The sequence below is a fragment of the Homo sapiens genome, chromosome 2, assembly GCF_000001405.40.
Source record: "Homo sapiens chromosome 2, GRCh38.p14 Primary Assembly".
NCBI lineage: Eukaryota > Metazoa > Chordata > Mammalia > Primates > Hominidae > Homo > Homo sapiens.
Window position 1 is genome coordinate 173,353,472 of NC_000002.12, and position 17,248 is coordinate 173,370,719.

The following is a 17,248-nucleotide window of genomic DNA, read 5'->3' on the forward strand; positions in this document are numbered from 1 at the left end:
ACTAAAAATTTCCCTATCAGAACCTTTCACAGGCAAAGTGACTTAATCTTCCCCTGCTTCATGGATCTAGTAATTCCAAATTTTCATATATTTAGCTTTAGTGGCACAAAATTATATTCCCAAATGTTTATTCATTCAACAAATACTTACTGAGGGCCCTGTAATTCCGTAATTTCACCACCCACCGATAGCCTCTCCTCCTGGCACTCACCTTCTAGACCTTGAGCTCTTTGTCCCTTGCACAGTGGCAGAGTGATTACTGGGTAGGTATATTTAAGAAAGGCTGGAAGACTCCTTCCAATCCATTGTCCTCGGGCATTATTTACTTGCTCACAGTTTTTGTATTCAGTACACCAAGAGAGGAACACAGTATGTCCATGCACTCTCTTACTGCAAAGGAATTAATTATTCCCCAGAGAAAAGTTTTGAAATGAGGGGGAAATGCGAATGTTTTCATTTCAAGCGCTTGTTTTAAATGTTAAGAGTATAATTAGTGTCTTCTAAAGAAACTAAATTTACTTTTTCTTGTAGAAGCAAGTTTTGCTCTTCACGCACACAAAAAGCCTCGCTTTATTTCATTTTTTCGTTGTAATGCCAAGTTTGGTTAAAAGGGCAATGAAAAGTTTTCTCGTTCGCACTGACTCAGGGTAGTTCTCAATTCTGAAGACAGAGAAGATCATCAAGCCACAATTGTTCAATCTTTAGTTTCAATCCCCAACAGATAATCGTTAAAGGTTAACTATACTATAGACGTCTTCATCAAGCTGCTGCGGCTTTTCTTCTACTTTGAAAACCACAAGTAAACAAGTCGGCTTCCTGTGCTTTTTGGAAAGAAAGATCAGGATTTAACTCATTTTATTGCTTCAGATAATGGTGTGGTTCCCAGATAAGAGGTGCTACATCCAGGGGCGGTGAACTCGATTATGAAGGGTGGAGTTCGTGCTGGATTCTATGATTTTTTAAATCTTGTAAACCGCACGCAGCAATGAAAGTGCTAAACGCCATGGTGCGTGACCCGCGCCACCCTCACGCTGCTCTCCTTTACCCCCCAGACTCCACTTTTCCTCCGCCACCACGAAAATTCTTGCAAATCAGACAGCTAACCCCGGGGCAATACGAACCATTTTCGCGCCACTCGCTCAGGACCGCGCAGCTGCACAAGGAGAGTGGTCCCCGTAGCCCCTAAAGCCCCCCTTTCTCAAAGGGGATTTTAGGAGTGCCCAAGGCTATCCTTTGAGGTCAGAATATATAGGGGGGTCGTGTTTTTTCCAGGGGGCCACCTAGTCTTGCGCCATGTCTGGCCGTTACCACAGCTTGCAGGACCTGTGTCCCAACGCGGGAAAGACAGCCCGAGCCCCGCCCCTCCGGGCCCGGGTCGGCGCGCCCAGCCTGCCAGCCGCGCTGCTGCTGCTCCTCCTGCTGTGGGACCGCTGACCGCGCGGCTGCTCCGCTCTCCCCGCTCCAAGCGCCGATCTGGGCACCCGCCACCAGCATGGACGCTCGCCGCGTGCCGGTGAGGGCTGGGCGGGCGAACCCGAGGGGCGGGCGCGGTGGGTGCTGGACGCAGGCGGGCGCGGGCCGACCCTCTCCAACTCCGCAGCCTAGCGCTGCCTTAACTGGTGGCCTGCCTAGGCGTTGCCCGCTTGGGCAAGCCCCTGATTTTGTGCACCTGGGATAACTGAGGGCCATGGGGACGTTCCTGCGTGGCGTGCGCACCCGAAGTGCGGGCGGCGTGGAGACTTGAGTCGTTTGCAGGATGGCTAGCAGCGCTGGAAAGCCCTAGGCACGTGCGTCCGCCAAAGGCCGGACAGCGGCCGGGAGCGCTGGCCGGTCCCGATTTTGCCTGCCAGGCAGAGCCAGCCTGCCTGCCCCCTGGGAGGTTGTCCCGCAGCGGCCCAGCCCTTTCCCGCACACAACTCGGAGCCAGTGCGTGGCTCGCCGCGTCTATACCCGCGCTCAGTGGGTGGCCCTTGGGCGCGCACCCCGCCCGGCAAGAGACGCGTCCGCTTCTAACCGCTGAGGGCCAGCGCGTCTGAGGTTTAAGGTCTTGCGAACCGGTCTCCTAGAACTTGGGCTGCGCACGCAGTGTGAAGCGACCGTAGTCCCGGGCGGTGGTTAAGTGCATTTAAAGGGCTTGGTGGGTCAAAGCGTTCGCCGACCATTTGCTCGTTTCCTACTTCCTCCACCCCAACCCCCAACCCCCCACCCCCCACCCCCCAGCCTTACTCTTAGCTGCAGGACGTTGCTCTGAGTGGAACGTTACTTTTTGCTCTAACGGAAGCCAGAACGTAGGGTCGGGCTCCTGGAGAGGGTAGAAGAGTGGGGGTTGGGTGAAACGGAAGACAATGACATGTTTAAAATAAATATCAGGGGTTAGGGACCCTCGCGGGGGTGGGTGCGATGGGGCGTGGTTTCAGAGCTGAGTCGCCGCCCCGGTGGAGCTGGGCATTGGCTTTCCGGATGAAGAAAACCATGTGTAGCTGGTCTTGGAACCTGACATGCCTGAGTTCAAATCTGAGCCACCATGGGACTTGAGTAATCCATTTCGCTTTCCTGAGCCTCAGTTTCCTCATTGGCTAAGTGAGAATAACGATAGCACCTTTGTTGCAAAGAATTAAACCTGACGTGAAAGTGTACTTAACATAGTGCCTGGCACGAAAAACGCCTACTATAAATGGTATTAGTTATTACTTACCTGCCAAAGAAGTTCATCTCCGTCTTGACTATTTGCCTTGCTGCTTTTTTGTGGCTTTTCCTCCAAAGATACGTTTGCCTGGTAAATAACTCTTGGCTTGTGCTGACTTGTTAAAGCTCAGCCTGTATTTCTCGGACAGCTTCCAATAGAATGCCGCCTTTGAGGCTGTCTGGGGCCTCTGACTGCTTGCAGGTAGATTGATGAGTAAAGGGTGGTAATTCCTGCAGTAATGCGATGAACACTGCTGCTTAAGAAGATGGCAGACTTGAGTTCTCCTTCCTGCCCCTGTGATCTTGCAGTCTATTACACCTTCCTGGGGCCTTGAATATCCTCATCTGGAAAATGGGATCTGAGATCCTTTTCAGCTCCCAACATTCATTGTGTCCCAGGCTGGAGTGCAGTGGCACAGTCACGGCTCACTGCAGCCTACCGGGCTCAAGCAGTCTTCCCACCTCAGCCTCCCAAGTAACTGGGATTACATGTACGCACCGCCACATCCGGCTGATTTTTGTGTTTTTAGTAGAGACGGGGTTTCACCATATTCCCCACGCTGGTCTCGAACTCGTGGGCTCAAGTGATCCTCCCACCTTGGCTTCCCAAAGCGCTGAGATTACAGGTGTGAGCCACCCCCCTACACATACACCTAACCTTTATATTTAGTAGCTCTACCTTTTACACGTTGTCCTGCCTTGTTAAGAGGGCAAAAGACAAAAACTTCCTAAGATGATTGAACGGAGTTTACTTAGGGGTATAGGGATGTTGGGAGTGCCATCATCATGAAAATAACTTTATCTGCAAGAGACTGAAATGCGTAATGTTAGGCCAAGAAGGAGGGCAAGAATGTTCTGGTCACCTGACATCTTACATCTTAGCATATTTTGTAGAATCTATACCAGAGCTTGCCCTTTCAAAGTTTTCAGTGTAAGGAATCACTTCTGCTATTCCATGGCCCCATTTAAGGAATAAAAACACAGGACCTAATGCAACACTTAGGAAATCTCGTTAAATATTAAGAAATGACAAACCACTATCCTTTTTTTATACAAGATAGATGCCAATTACATTTTCTGAGAGCAGTGCCAGGCTGTTCAGTATTTATGAATGAATGAAGCATTTCTATGTAAGTAATTTGCACTTTATAAAAGGACTTTTAAAAACTTAAGTCTTGTATAGCAAAGGGACAGCAACAAGAACTGAATGACAGCCTCAAGTAATAGAGTGCTAAAATGGAATCCGGTATCCCACCTGCATTTGGAGTGCTATTTGATCTTTAACTTGGCTCCTTGTACCATTTGTTGAAGCGTTTGATGTATTTGCTTTGTAAGGACTTCTGTGGAAATCACGATAGCCCTCTTGATTGGAAAGGGGCCTGCTTGGAAGCCTGCCATCTTGAAGTAGAGGTCCTGCCCAGTTTTTGTAGTTTGTGAAATTAGCATCACAGTACATAGCCCAAAGCTTACATAAAAATACCTCATTAGCTTGATTTTGGCTGAGGGAGAAAAATCTTTCTCCCCTTTTGTACTTTTGAAATTTCCTTTTAGAAGTACAGTTTAATTTTTTTAAAAAAACAGGTTGGATTTTAGGAGTTTAGCATTAAAATCTCCTGTGGGGCTCAGTATAATGCTAAGAGCTAAAGATTAGGGGCTCATAAAGGTGGGTTGAGAGGTAGCTCTACAGATGTTTGAATAAATTGATAAATGTCTTTACAATTTTCCTGCAAAGGGATCCCTTCTTAGAATTTGACCTGGTTTTGGCCGGGCGCGGTGGCTCACGCCTGTAATCCCAGCACTTTGGGAGGCCGAGGCAGGCAGATCACGAGGTCAGGAGATTGAGACCATTCTGGCTAACACGGTGAAACCCCGTCTCTACTAAAAATACAAAAAATTAACCGGGCGTGGTGGCGGGCGCCTGTAATCCCAGCTACTCTGGAGGCTGAGGCAGGAGAATGGCGTGAATCCATGAGGCGGAGCTTGCAGTGAGCCGAGATCGCGCCACTGCACTCCAGCCTGGGCGACACAGCGAGACTCCGTCTCAAAAAAAAAAAAAAAAAGAATTTGACCTGGTTTTAAAGATTTTTGGGTCCAGATACAGTAGCTAATGCCTGTAATCCAAGCCCTTTGGGAGGCTCCGGTGGGAGGATCACTTGAGCCCAGGAGTTTGAGACCAACCTGGGCAACATAGCAAGACCCCATCTCTAAAAAGAAATAAAATAAGTTAGCTGGGCATGGTGGCACATGCATGTAGTCCTGTCTACTCAGGAGGCTGAGGCAGGAGGCTTGCTTGAGCTCAGGAGTTCCAGGTTGTAGTAAGCTATGATCTCAGCACTGCACTTTAGCCTGGAAGACAGAGCGAGATCCTGCTTCTTACAAAAAAAAGAAAGAAAAAATTTTTTGTAGCAGTTAACAAACTTCCTTTTCTATGTAGGGTATGATAAATGGACATATCTACTCTGTGCTGTTTGAACCTACTAAACTAAAAAAAAATGATGTCTTTAGTTAAATAAAGTAAGCATCACGCTTAATAGGATTGCTATTTCCATTTGCAGCAGAAAGATCTCAGAGTAAAGAAGAACTTAAAGAAATTCAGATATGTGAAGTTGATTTCCATGGAAACCTCGTCATCCTCTGATGACAGTTGTGACAGCTTTGCTTCTGATAATTTTGCAAACACGGTAAGTGCTGCCTGAGAATAAACAGAATTGAGTCTGCAGTGCTCAAAATGCCCCAGATGCTTTGTGCGTGATTAAAACTGCTTGCTTTTTGCCTACATTTCTATACAGCCGTTATGAAAATACAGTATGCACTATAATTTCATTTCACTTTTTGCTGTGGTTCTAGGTAGTAATTGTTGGAGGTAGATTAGCTACTTATTCTATCCTTTTGAAATGTCGCCTAACCTAACATGCATGATGATTTGCCATAACAACTCAGAAATCATTTGTAAACCTCTGAACCATTTTTCTTTGTAACAAAAGCTGTTCTCTTGTAGTGCACTTGTAAATGTGATTTGCTCTCTGCACGGTTTATGGAAAATTGGTTCTTGAAAAAGAAAAAAAATGCACAACCGCATTTATTTATTTATTTTACAGAAACCTAAATTCAGGTCAGATATCAGTGAAGAACTGGCAAATGTTTTTTATGAGGACTCTGATAATGAATCTTTCTGCGGCTTTTCAGAAAGTGAGGTGCAAGATGTATTAGACCATTGTGGATTTTTACAGAAACCAAGGCCAGATGTCACTAACGAACTGGCCGGTATTTTTCATGCCGACTCTGACGATGAATCATTTTGCGGTTTCTCAGAGAGTGAGATACAAGATGGAATGGTGAGTTCGAGAATTTCACCAGTTTCAAGAAGTAAGATACATTTAGAGGCATGACATATTTTTAGAAATTTTTTTCTTGTGATTTTGATTTTAGTCATGCCAGCAGACTTTGTTGACCTTTTAAAAATTTTTAGTGTTTTCTTCATGTCTTAAAGCAGTGTTTACTAATGTAGTCGGACTTACAAATCATGAACATTTTGTAGGCTCTGAAAATTTGGAAACTGGTAAGATAAAATTGGCCAATCTCCAGATTTTCGTTTCCACAAAAATCCAGCCTAATCAGGAAGCACACTAGTTCTAAATATTATCTACATTTGCATTTAAGTTCAAGTGCCCAGCCTAGTGCCTGTCATAGAGCAGACCTTTGATAAATGTTGGTCTCATAGTAGATCTGTGGCTGCATCTTGAAAACCTGTGATAACTTACGTGCAGGAGCTCCATTGCAGATAATGACATTGAGGGCCCTTCCTGCTGCTACTTTTGCTCCTTGGTTGGCTTTTCCTATGCACGCTACCTTCCTTTAACTGCCGCTGCCACTGTTGTGCTGTGCCTCGGTCCCACTCTTCTGAGCATACTGCTTAATTCTGCACACATTTTCCTGTTCCAAAGACTTTCTTGACAAAGGAAGCAGTGCATTCACTGATAATCAAGTGCATGCTCTTCAACTCACTGGTCTGACATGGATCCACTGCCTGAGGTTCATGGTTTGAGTAACATTGATAGAAGTGGCAGTGCCTGGCCAAGGAGTGTTTTGGTCCAAATCAGTGCATACTGGAGTTTGTTGCAGGGGGTCCAGTCTGCAGATCTGGATGCGACACAAACATTGTCAATAGCCTGAATAATTTCTGGGCAGTGTTTCAGTTCTTTGAAGATACTGTCATGATTAATAAAATGCCAATTCATTATAATTGTTAGGAACTCATGAAAGGTTTTTGTTGTTTTGTACTCTCTCAATCCATGGACACTAAAAGTACAAAAAGCTGTTTGTGGGCATGTAAGACTTTTGAGACAGGGTCTTGCACTGTCAACCAGGCTGGAGTGCACTGGTGTGATCATGGCTCACTGCAGCCTCCACCTCCTGGGCTTAAGCGATTCTCCCTCAGCCTACCCAGTAGCTGAGACTACAGGCGTGTACCACCATGCCTGGGAACTTTTAAAAATTTTTTATAGAGATGTGGGCTCACTTTGTTGCTCAGGCTGGTCTCGAACTCCTAGGCCCAAGCAATCCTCCCGTCTCGGCCTCCAAAAGTGCTGGGATTACAGCCAAGAGCCACCTTGCTGGCCTTGATAAATATTTTAATGTTAAAACTGAGTCTTTATGGGTGAAATTCTGGGATTTATGGGTGATTTTTTTCTTCTCTCTCTCTTTTTTTTTAACCTGCAACCATTACCATAGTCAATTTTGGAATAACTTTATGACCCCAAAAAATGACTCTGTACCCATTAACAGTCACTCCCTATTCTTTCCCAACACCCCCAGCTCCTGGCAACCATCAGTCTGCTTTCTGTCGTCATAGATTAGCCCGTTGTGGATATTTCATAAAAATTGAATCATGATATGTGGTCTTTTGTGACTGGCTTCTTTCACTTAGGATAATGATGTCAAGGTTTATTTATGTTGTGGCATGTGTTAGTTCTTCATTTTATTGCAGAATATTCTGTTGTGTGAATCAGCCACATTTGATTTACCCATTCATCAGTTGATGGATAAGTGGGTTGTTTGCACTTTTTTGGCTATTATGAATAATGCTACTGTGAACATTCATGTACAAGTTTTTGTGTAGTTTTTGTGTATACTCTTAGGTATATACATAGGAATAGAATTGTGGGTCATGTAGTAACTGTTTAACCTTTTGAGAAATAGACAAAGTGGCTACACCAGTTTACATTCCTACCAGCAGTGTGTGAGGGTTACAGTTTCTCCAAATTTTTGCTAATACTTTTTTTTATTTTCCTTTTGCTTTTTTTTTTTTTTTTTGAGACAGAGTCTCACTCTGTCACCCAGGCTGGCGTACAGTGGCATAATTTTGGCTCACCACAACCTCCGCCTCCTGGGTTCAAGCGATTCTTGTGTCTCAGCATCTGAGTAGCTGGGACTACAGGCATGTGCCACCACACCTGGCTAATTTTTTATATTTTTAGTAGAGACGGGGTTTTGCCATCTTGGCCAGACTGGTCTCGAACTCCTGACCTCAGGTGATCTGCCCATCTCAGCCTCCCAAAGAGCTGGGATTACAGATGTGAGCCACCATACCCAGCCTTCTTTTGCTTTTTAGCTCTACTATGAAGTGGTGTCTCACTATGTTTTGTGTTTTTTTTTATTTTTATTTTTCGGAGACGGAGTCTTGCTCTGTAGCCCAGGCTGGAGTGCAGTGGTGTGGTCTCAGTGATCTCTGCTCACTGCAACCTCCGCTTCCTGGGTTCAAGCGATTCTCTTGCCTCAGCCTCCCAAGTAGCTGGGATTACAGGCGTGTGCCACTGTGCCTGGCTAATTTTTGTATTTTTAGTAGAAACGGGATTTCACCATGTTGGCCAGACTGGTGTCAAACTCCTGACGTCAGGTGATCCGCCTGCCCCGGCCTTCCAAAGTGCTGGGATTATAGGCATGAGCTACCGCACCCAGCCTTGCATTGTGATTTTGATTTACATTACCCTATGGCTAATTTGGATAAATTTTTAATGATGAAAACCTATATTACTTTTGGAATCTGGAAATATTTTCATTTTGAACTTCTAAAAGTAGATTAGAGAAGTACCTAGAGAAGTCAAATGTATAGACAGAAAATAGGATGATGGTTGCCAGGGGCGGAGGGAAAGAGGGAATGAGGAATTACTGTTTAATGGGTATGGATGGAGTTTTAGTTGGAGAAGATGAAAACATTCTGGAGATGGATGGTGGTGATGGCTGCACAACAATGTGCATGTATTTAATGCCATTGACTTGTATACTTAGAAATGGTTAAAATGATAAATCTTATGTATATTATATTATATATTTTTTAAAGTAGAGAATTGAGATCTGTTAATATAATTTAATATTGCCATAAACATTGAAGCCATATTTATAGGGGAACACATTTTTTTCCCTTTTTTTTTTTTTCAAGACAGGGTCTGGCTCTGTAACCCAGCCCTGGCATACAGTGGCACGAACACGGCTCACTGAGCCTCTGCCCCCTGGGCTCAAGCCATCCACCCACCTCAGCCTTCCAAGTAGCTGGGACCACAGGCATGCGCCACCATGCCCAGCTAATTTTTGTATTTTTTTTTGCAGAGACGGGGTTTCACCATGTTGCCCAGGCTGGTCTCGAACTCCTAGGCTCAAGTGATTCACCCGCCTCAGCCTCCCAAAGTGCTGGGATTACAGATGTGAGCCACTGCACCCAGCCAGGAGAACACATTTGTTCTTGTCAGAATTCTTTTAAAATACATAAAGATCTGTTTCTAAAGAAATGAAAAGCAGGTGGTAGGAATTTTAACATTTTAAAAAAAGGCTCAGAACCACAGGCCTAGGGACTATGAAAATAGCTTATAACAGTGTGGTCCAGATGGGCTACATGGAATTAAACTGCACTCTGTTGATGTACTCTTTGTGGTTCCTGATTTTGTTACCCAGAGGTATCAATGTTCAGTTAAAATTCATTTCATACAAGTGTCTCATTGAAAAGGGACTTTGTAGTTATACTGATGCAGCTTGTCTGCTGATCAAGTCCTAATGACTCAATTGTTGTGATTAGAGGCTGCAGTCAGTTCGGGAAGGCTGTAGGACCCGCAGCCAGTGCAGGCACTCTGGACCTCTCAGGGTGGCGATGAAGTTTCCAGCGCGGAGTACCAGGGGAGCAACCAACAAAAAAGCAGAGTCCCGCCAGCCCTCAGAGAATTCTGTGACTGATTCCAACTCCGATTCAGAAGATGAAAGTGGAATGAATTTTTTGGAGAAAAGGGCTTTAAATATAAAGCAAAACAAAGCAATGGTAGGTATCTGACTTTGTGTTAGAATTAATTTTTCCTCTCTAAGCGACTCATTACTTAAATCTGTTCCATCACGCAAAAGTTATTTTTTTCTGTTACATGAATAAAAAGTTATTTTTGTTTACCTGTGAAGTCTTCAATGTGTGCCTCAAAATGTGTTTCTTTCCCTGAACTACTTTTTTTAAATCTGTTAAAGGCCTGGTTAAGTGTATAGGGGAAATCAGAAACTCTGAATGTGTCAGCTTACTATCAAATATAAAACCATGAGATGTACTTGAGTATTTTCCAGAAGTTAGTTGCTCATTTTCGACAGTTATTCTAAGCCAATGATATCAGTTTAATTTCCTCCCTTTTTAGCTTGCAAAACTCATGTCTGAATTAGAAAGCTTCCCTGGCTCGTTCCGTGGAAGACATCCCCTCCCAGGCTCCGACTCAGTAAGTACCAGTTCTTGTTTATATACAGTAGTGTTTTGGGCACACCTAAGGTCGATCTGTGTTGTATTTAAAAATCTAATTTCTTTATTTGTGTGGCCTTCTAGACAAACGAAGGGGACCTAGAGGAAACCCCCTGACAGATCTCTGGATGATCCTCCTTGAATCCTGGGCAGTTTGGTCTCTCCTTGCTGTGCTCCTGTGGCACTAAACTCCTTTTGATTGGTTCTTTCTTTCCTTCCCAGCTAGACTAAGCCCCTCATGGGCAGGTAATGAAGATTGAAAACTTTTTTCTGTTCTCCAGTGTGAGCACATTCCTCCTACATGGTAGATGTGCAATAGATGTTTTTAAAATTGGAGAATGAAAATAAAAGAAGAAAATCACAATTTCTTATCAAGTTGTAGCTTGGTATCATACACAATTGCATTCTGAGGAATTAAGGTGGTACAACTTAGGGAGATTTGGTGTGTCTGCTGTGATAGAAAAGATTTCTTTTTCCTGGCTTTCCCTGAGGAAAGGAAAGATGGAAAGAGGGAAGCCATACAGATATCCCTCTATTTTGCAGTGTAGAAACTGAATGTGTTTCTACAGGGTCAAGAGACATCAGAGAAAATTTTTTTTTTTAGAACAGAAGATCATTTCTTACATCTTCATTAAGTAAAAGAATAAATAGCTCATCTCTCAAGTTGAAAGAAACTGGGCTTGGTATTACAAAAGCAAAATTAAGATGGCCATATAGGTTTTAGGCTCATTTTGCCATGCATTATGCAAAGGACAAAGAAAAAGAAAAAATAGAGCTCTCTTTACTTAAAACATCCTTAAGGAGAAGCTATGAATTCCCCAAAGTACTACTTCTCTTTATTATGGAATAAATGGATTCCCTTATACGTGCTTTGTTTAGCAATCAAGGAGACCGCGAAGGCGTACATTCCCGGGTGTTGCTTCCAGGAGAAACCCTGAACGGAGAGCTCGTCCTCTTACCAGGTCAAGGTCCCGGATCCTCGGGTCCCTTGACGCTCTACCCATGGAGGAGGAGGAGGAAGAGGATAAGTACATGTTGGTGAGAAAGAGGAAGACCGTGGATGGCTACATGAATGTGAGTTCTCCGCATTGGTACTTGCTCTTCTGATTCTCATCTTCGGTAGGCCTGGCATCATACACAGCACAGGTACACGCACATCCTTAACACCAGGCGATCCATAGTAAATGTTTTCCTCTAACCATTCAGAACTGTAAACGTCACATAAGCTTACTTGGTAATTTTATTAGCAGGCGAGAATTGGGTTTTCTTCATCTCTTCTTAATTGTAGGCATCGTTTCCAAAATGTCCAGTTAGGCTACAGTAAGCGTATGGCCTGTTCCCCTACCATAAGCTCTAGGAGAGATTTCCAGGTTGAAGTTTGTGTGAAGAAATTACAAGTCAAGTATCTGAGATTCAAAGCTGGGGAGAGCCAGTTTTGAATCTCTGTGTTTCATATTTGAATCTGTTTTTTCAGTTTTGAATCTCTTTCAGTTTTTCAGTTTTGAAGTTCTGTGTTTTGTATTCCTTGTAATGCAGGAAGATGACCTGCCCAGAAGCCGTCGCTCCAGATCATCCGTGACCCTTCCGCATATAATTCGCCCAGTGGAAGAAATTACAGAGGAGGAGTTGGAGAACGTCTGCAGCAATTCTCGAGAGAAGATATATAACCGTTCACTGGTGAGAGCCTCTAAATTACACCTGAGAATGTAAACATCTGTGAGAGGAAGAGAGCTTCTGTCCCTAAGCGTTGCCCAGGTTCTAAAGGGCCTAGCATGTGAAATCTGTACCTATATGTTTTTTTCACACAAGGAAGGAAAAGTTTTACAGTATCCCTGGGATTTAGCCCTCTTTCACAGTGGAATTATCTGCTTAGTAAGTCTGTAGTCATGGTAAATCTTTTCTCCTAATTTAGAAATCAATTCATTCAACATATATTTACTGCATATCTATTATGTGTGTATACATAGCTAGGTGCTGGAGTGTGGTGGTACACCAAAGATAAAAGTGGATTTGGGTAGGTTATTTTTTAATAAGACCTTTTCTTAAAGGGAAAGCGGTTTTACCACACCAGGCTAATTTTTATATTTTTAGTGGAGATGGGGTTTTGCCATATTGCCCAGGCTGGTCTTGAACTCCTTGGCTCAAGCGATCCACTCTCCTCAGTCTCCCGGAATGCTGGGGTTACAGGTGTGAGCCACTGCACCTGGTTGAGTTATTTTTCATACCCTGGCATATACATGTGTATGTAGAGATTCATAGACAAAATGTAAGCCTATACTACGAAGAGGGACATTCTGTAAATATGCCATTTCCTCTGTTGAAAAACAGTGGTTTTTTTTGTTTTTTTTCTTAATGGCTTATTTGTAGGGCTCTACTTGTCATCAATGCCGTCAGAAGACTATTGATACCAAAACAAACTGCAGAAACCCAGACTGCTGGGGCGTTCGAGGCCAGTTCTGTGGCCCCTGCCTTCGAAACCGTTATGGTGAAGAGGTCAGGGATGCTCTGCTGGATCCGGTAGGTGCCTGCCAGGGGTTGGTCCTGTGGGCTTGAAGGTCAGCCACAAACTGTGATGAGGCCAGAAAAAGGCATTGGTGAAGGGGTGGAGCCCTTTCTGTTATGGGGTGCTCTTCTTTTTTTTTAAGATGGAGTCTCATTCTGTCGCCAGGCTGCAGTGCAGTGGCGCGATCTCAGCTCACTGCAACCTCCTCCTCCTGGGTTCAAGCGATTCTCCTGCCTCAGCCTCCCAAGTAGCTGGGACTACAGGCACGCGCCACCACACCTAGCTAATTTTTGTATTTTTAGTAGAGACGGGGTTTCACCACATTGGCCAGGATGGTGTGGTGGTACAAGATCTCTTGACCTCGTGATCCACCCGCCTCGGCCTCCTGAAGTGCTGGGATTACAGGTGTGAGCCACCACGCCCGGCCCAGGGTGCTCTTAATTCAGAACACAAATGAATTCAGAGGGATGGTGCTGCATAGGCATGAGCCGCTTCTACGATACTCGGGTCTGAACTGTCCCTGGGAAGTTGCTGCTCCATTTATCCCTGGTAGCTGCTTGTAACTTCCACTCCTGGAAGGAAGCATTAGGCATTAGGAAACATTAGGCATGACTAATGCCTATTAATCATATAAATTTTTAACCATAAAGAAGGGGTTAAATGTAATGTAGATAAGTTGGTGGGGGAGGTAAGGTTTAACTTAATTGTGCCGTTTGACAATCCTCCTTCAGAACTGGCATTGCCCGCCTTGTCGAGGAATCTGCAACTGCAGTTTCTGCCGGCAGCGAGATGGACGGTGTGCGACTGGGGTCCTTGTGTATTTAGCCAAATATCATGGCTTTGGGAATGTGCATGCCTACTTGAAAAGGTAGTGGGTGTTTTTTTTTCCCTTCCACATCTGAATTTTATATTCATTTATGTCTTAATGAGAAGATGATAGATGTCAGAAGAGTGGTTATCTCTGGCGGGGTGGAGACTGACTGGAACGGGGCACACTGGAAGGGATGGGAACATTTTCTGTCTTCACTTAGGTGGTGGTAACCCGGGTGGGTGGGTGTGTATGAAAAAGTCAGGTAATATACTTGAAGATGCGCACACTTGACCATAGTGATGTTATAACTCAATAAAAATGGTTTTAAAAATGAATTAGGCTTTCAAAAGAGAATTCTTTGGTTGAAAACTATGTCCTGACACATTTCCTTTTGTTTTTCACAGCCTGAAACAGGAATTTGAAATGCAAGCATAATATCTGGAAAATTTGCTGCCTGCCTTCTACTTCTCAAATCTTTCTTGTAAAAGTTTCCAATTTTTTCACTGAAACCTGAGTTAAAAATCTTGATGATCAGCCTGTTTCATAAGAAACTCCAATCAAGTTAATCTTAGCAGACATGTGTTTCTGGAGCATCACAGAAGGTATATTGCTAGTTACACTTTGCCCTCCTGCAGTTTCTTCTCTGCTCCCAACCCCCATCTCACAGCATCCCCCTCTATTTCCAATGCTCCTCTCCAACCGCTTAGTTTCTGAATTTCTTTTAAATTACAGTTTTATGAAAGCATATTTTATTTACTTGGTGTTGAAATAGCCCTCATAAAACCTAAGCACTTGGAAACACAATAATAGTATTAACTAACTAGATCTATTGAATTTCAGAGAAGAGCCTTCTAACTTGTTTACACAAAAACGAGTATGATTTAGCATTCATACTAGTTGAAATTTTTAATAGAATCAAGGCACAAAAGTCTTAAAACCATGTGGAAAAATTAGGTAATTATTGCAGATTGATGTCTCTCAATCCCATGTATTGCGCTTATGTTACAAGTTGTTGTCACAGTTGAGACTTAATTTCTCCTAATTTCTTCTGCCCGAAGGGTAAGTGGTGCGTCCAGCTTACACAATCATAATTCAAAGGTTGGTGGGCAATGTAATACTTAATTAAAATAATGATGGAAGAGCTATCTGGAGATTATGAGTAAGCTGATTTGAATTTTCAGTATAAAACTTTAGTATAATTGTAGTTTGCAAAGTTTATTTCAGTTCACATGTAAGGTATTGCAAATAAATTCTTGGACAATTTTGTATGGAAACTTGATATTAAAAACTAGTCTGTGGTTCTTTGCAGTTTCTTGTAAATTTATAAACCAGGCACAAGGTTCAAGTTTAGATTTTAAGCACTTTTATAACAATGATAAGTGCCTTTTTGGAGATGTAACTTTTAGCAGTTTGTTAACCTGACATCTCTGCCAGTCTAGTTTCTGGGCAGGTTTCCTGTGTCAGTATTCCCCCTCCTCTTTGCATTAATCAAGGTATTTGGTAGAGGTGGAATCTAAGTGTTTGTATGTCCAATTTACTTGCATATGTAAACCATTGCTGTGCCATTCAATGTTTGATGCATAATTGGACCTTGAATCGATAAGTGTAAATACAGCTTTTGATCTGTAATGCTTTTATACAAAAGTTTATTTTAATAATAAAATGTTTGTTCTAACTTGTCTGCTTTTTTAAAAATAATCTTACTGTACTTAATTCTAATTTTTTCCTCATATTTAAATAAAAGGCCATTTCCACCTTTTCTAAAAAAGTCTCCCTTTTGACTGAAGTTTCTGAAGTTCTAAGGTCAGCTTGTTTGAAAGGACCTCACTAGGTGACAGGACTAATACCTGTGATCAGAAAACGGGCGGAGACAACCACAGTGCCTGATAGAAAACAATATGTGCCCATGAAGTTTTGTAGTGTTTTCTTTTCCTTTATGATGTGCTTTGCAATACCTGGCTTACTTTTATCAACCATTCAAACATATATTAAATGCATGCTGTGCCTTGAGGCTTGTTCCAGGACTGTGAGAATCAACAAAAAAGGCATGGTCTAAAAGCTCTCATAGCCCAATTCTTTTTTTATTTTTTGTAGAGACAGGTCTTGCTATGTTGCTCAGGCTGGTTTCAAACTCCTGGGCTCAAGGGATCCTCCTGCCTTGGCCTCCCAAAGTCACAGGCAAGAGCCACCACCACACCGGCTGTCCAATTCTTTAGACCAGGGATTGGCAAACTACAGCCTGTGGGCTACATGCTGCTGCAGAGTTTATTCGTATGGCATATGAACTAAGTATTTTTTTTTCCATTTGGAAAGGGTTGTTAAATAAGCAGAGACAATATGGTTCACAAAACCTAAGATATTTACAACCTGGCACTTTACAGAAAAAGTTTACTGTGTCTGCTCTAGAGTTATTTGAGAAGCCATGTTTACCCCATGCTCATCTGGGGAGAAGAACAAGCTAAGTGAAATTGTACAACTGGTATTCTGTGTAGATCCAAAAGAAATCAGTAACTTTGTTTTTGTAAACTTTTTGGATCTTAACCCAAATTATAATCCAACCTTATTGGATATGTAATTGGGAAGCTTAAATGTTTAGAGTTCATATAAATTGATGCTTATTTGGAAAAGTTCAGGTGATACCATGTTTTAATAGGAAGTAGAACTAATGGTGGTTTTCATTAAAAATTAACTGTAACAGTTGATTTGGATGCCTTATCCTTAAAGGATTTACAATCTAATGGGGGAACTAAGATGAAAACCCAAAAATAATGTTCTCAGCAGGAATGAAGGGAAAAAAACAAATTGGCATTTTCCCATCACCAGACATTTTAAAACATGGGTGAGCTCCTGGGTTTTGTGATGATCCCATTTTATAATAAGGAGCCTTAGGTCAGTTGCTCAGCCTCAGCCTTGACTGTGGGAGCCCACGGGGCCCACTGCAGAGCTCCACAGGCCATCCTGAGTGGAGAGAACTCCGGTTTTCACAGCTAGCTGCAAAAAATGGTGTTAGGGTGGCTGTGCCCCAGGAACTGCTTTCATATTTGTTTCTTCAACCTGAGGTAGAGTTTTCTGAGGTAGAGATGGTATTTACGTTTTGATTCTTACTTAGGAGTTAAGAAATGACATACGAACTAAAAAGGCTTTCACAATGAAGGGCAAAGGCTGCAGTTAGAGGGTTTTGCTGGAAGGTTTTGTTTTTGTTTCATTTTGCTTTTAGAAGAAAGTGAGAGGGGACTTCTGATTGCCCCAGGAAGGAAATGAGGTCACTGGGAGAATGGAACTAGAGGTCTCAGTGCTTTAGGAGAAGATGGGAGTATGGGGACAGTATTAGGTACTCAGTCCTGAGGGGAATAGGAGGTTTTATGTTAATGCTAACCTCACATCCATTAGATGTCTGAAAGAATGGGGAAGTAAATCCAGATAAGTTGAGAAAAATGCCCAGTATCACACAGCTCCAAAGAGGCAAAGCTAGGCCAAACACCAGAGAGAG

At 43.0% G+C, this 17,248-nt stretch overlaps 1 protein-coding gene across 3 annotated transcripts, besides 5 other annotated features; it reads left to right on the plus strand.

The window, feature by feature from the left end:
- Positions 445-1,400: an enhancer, noted in NCBI's record as "NANOG-H3K27ac hESC enhancer chr2:174218644-174219599 (GRCh37/hg19 assembly coordinates)". NCBI's record gives its function as "activates a minimal SCP1, AML or CMV promoter by ChIP-STARR-seq in primed H9 embryonic stem cells {active_cell/tissue: H9 hESC(primed)}" and the evidence as "EXISTENCE:reporter gene assay evidence [ECO:0000049][PMID:30033119]".
- Positions 445-1,612: a biological region, named in NCBI's record as "NANOG-H3K27ac hESC enhancer GRCh37_chr2:174218644-174219599".
- Positions 703-792: an enhancer, noted in NCBI's record as "active region_16766". NCBI's record gives its function as "activates an Ori minimal core promoter by ATAC-STARR-seq in GM12878 lymphoblastoid cells {active_cell/tissue: GM12878}" and the evidence as "EXISTENCE:reporter gene assay evidence [ECO:0000049][PMID:35858748]".
- Positions 1,343-1,612: a silencer, noted in NCBI's record as "silent region_12114". NCBI's record gives its function as "represses an Ori minimal core promoter by ATAC-STARR-seq in GM12878 lymphoblastoid cells {active_cell/tissue: GM12878}" and the evidence as "EXISTENCE:reporter gene assay evidence [ECO:0000049][PMID:35858748]".
- Positions 1,401-15,526, plus strand: CDCA7 (cell division cycle associated 7). Of its 3 annotated transcripts, NM_031942.5 has the most exons (10): positions 1,401-1,513; positions 5,241-5,366; positions 5,784-6,020; positions 9,755-9,991; positions 10,347-10,424; positions 11,324-11,518; positions 11,981-12,121; positions 12,812-12,961; positions 13,679-13,815; positions 14,163-15,526. In NM_031942.5, exons 1-10 carry the CDS (start codon positions 1,493-1,495, stop codon positions 14,191-14,193), a joined length of 1,353 nt encoding a protein of 450 aa, NP_114148.3. In that variant the 5' UTR covers positions 1,401-1,492; the 3' UTR covers positions 14,194-15,526. The 3 variants fall into 3 exon arrangements, with proteins under 3 accessions (NP_114148.3, NP_665809.1, XP_047301913.1); NM_145810.3 differs by lacking the exon at positions 5,784-6,020; XM_047445957.1 differs by lacking the exons at positions 11,324-11,518; positions 11,981-12,121; positions 12,812-12,961; positions 13,679-13,815; positions 14,163-15,526 and adding an exon at positions 10,529-10,808.
- Positions 16,878-16,977: an enhancer, noted in NCBI's record as "active region_16767". NCBI's record gives its function as "activates an Ori minimal core promoter by ATAC-STARR-seq in GM12878 lymphoblastoid cells {active_cell/tissue: GM12878}" and the evidence as "EXISTENCE:reporter gene assay evidence [ECO:0000049][PMID:35858748]".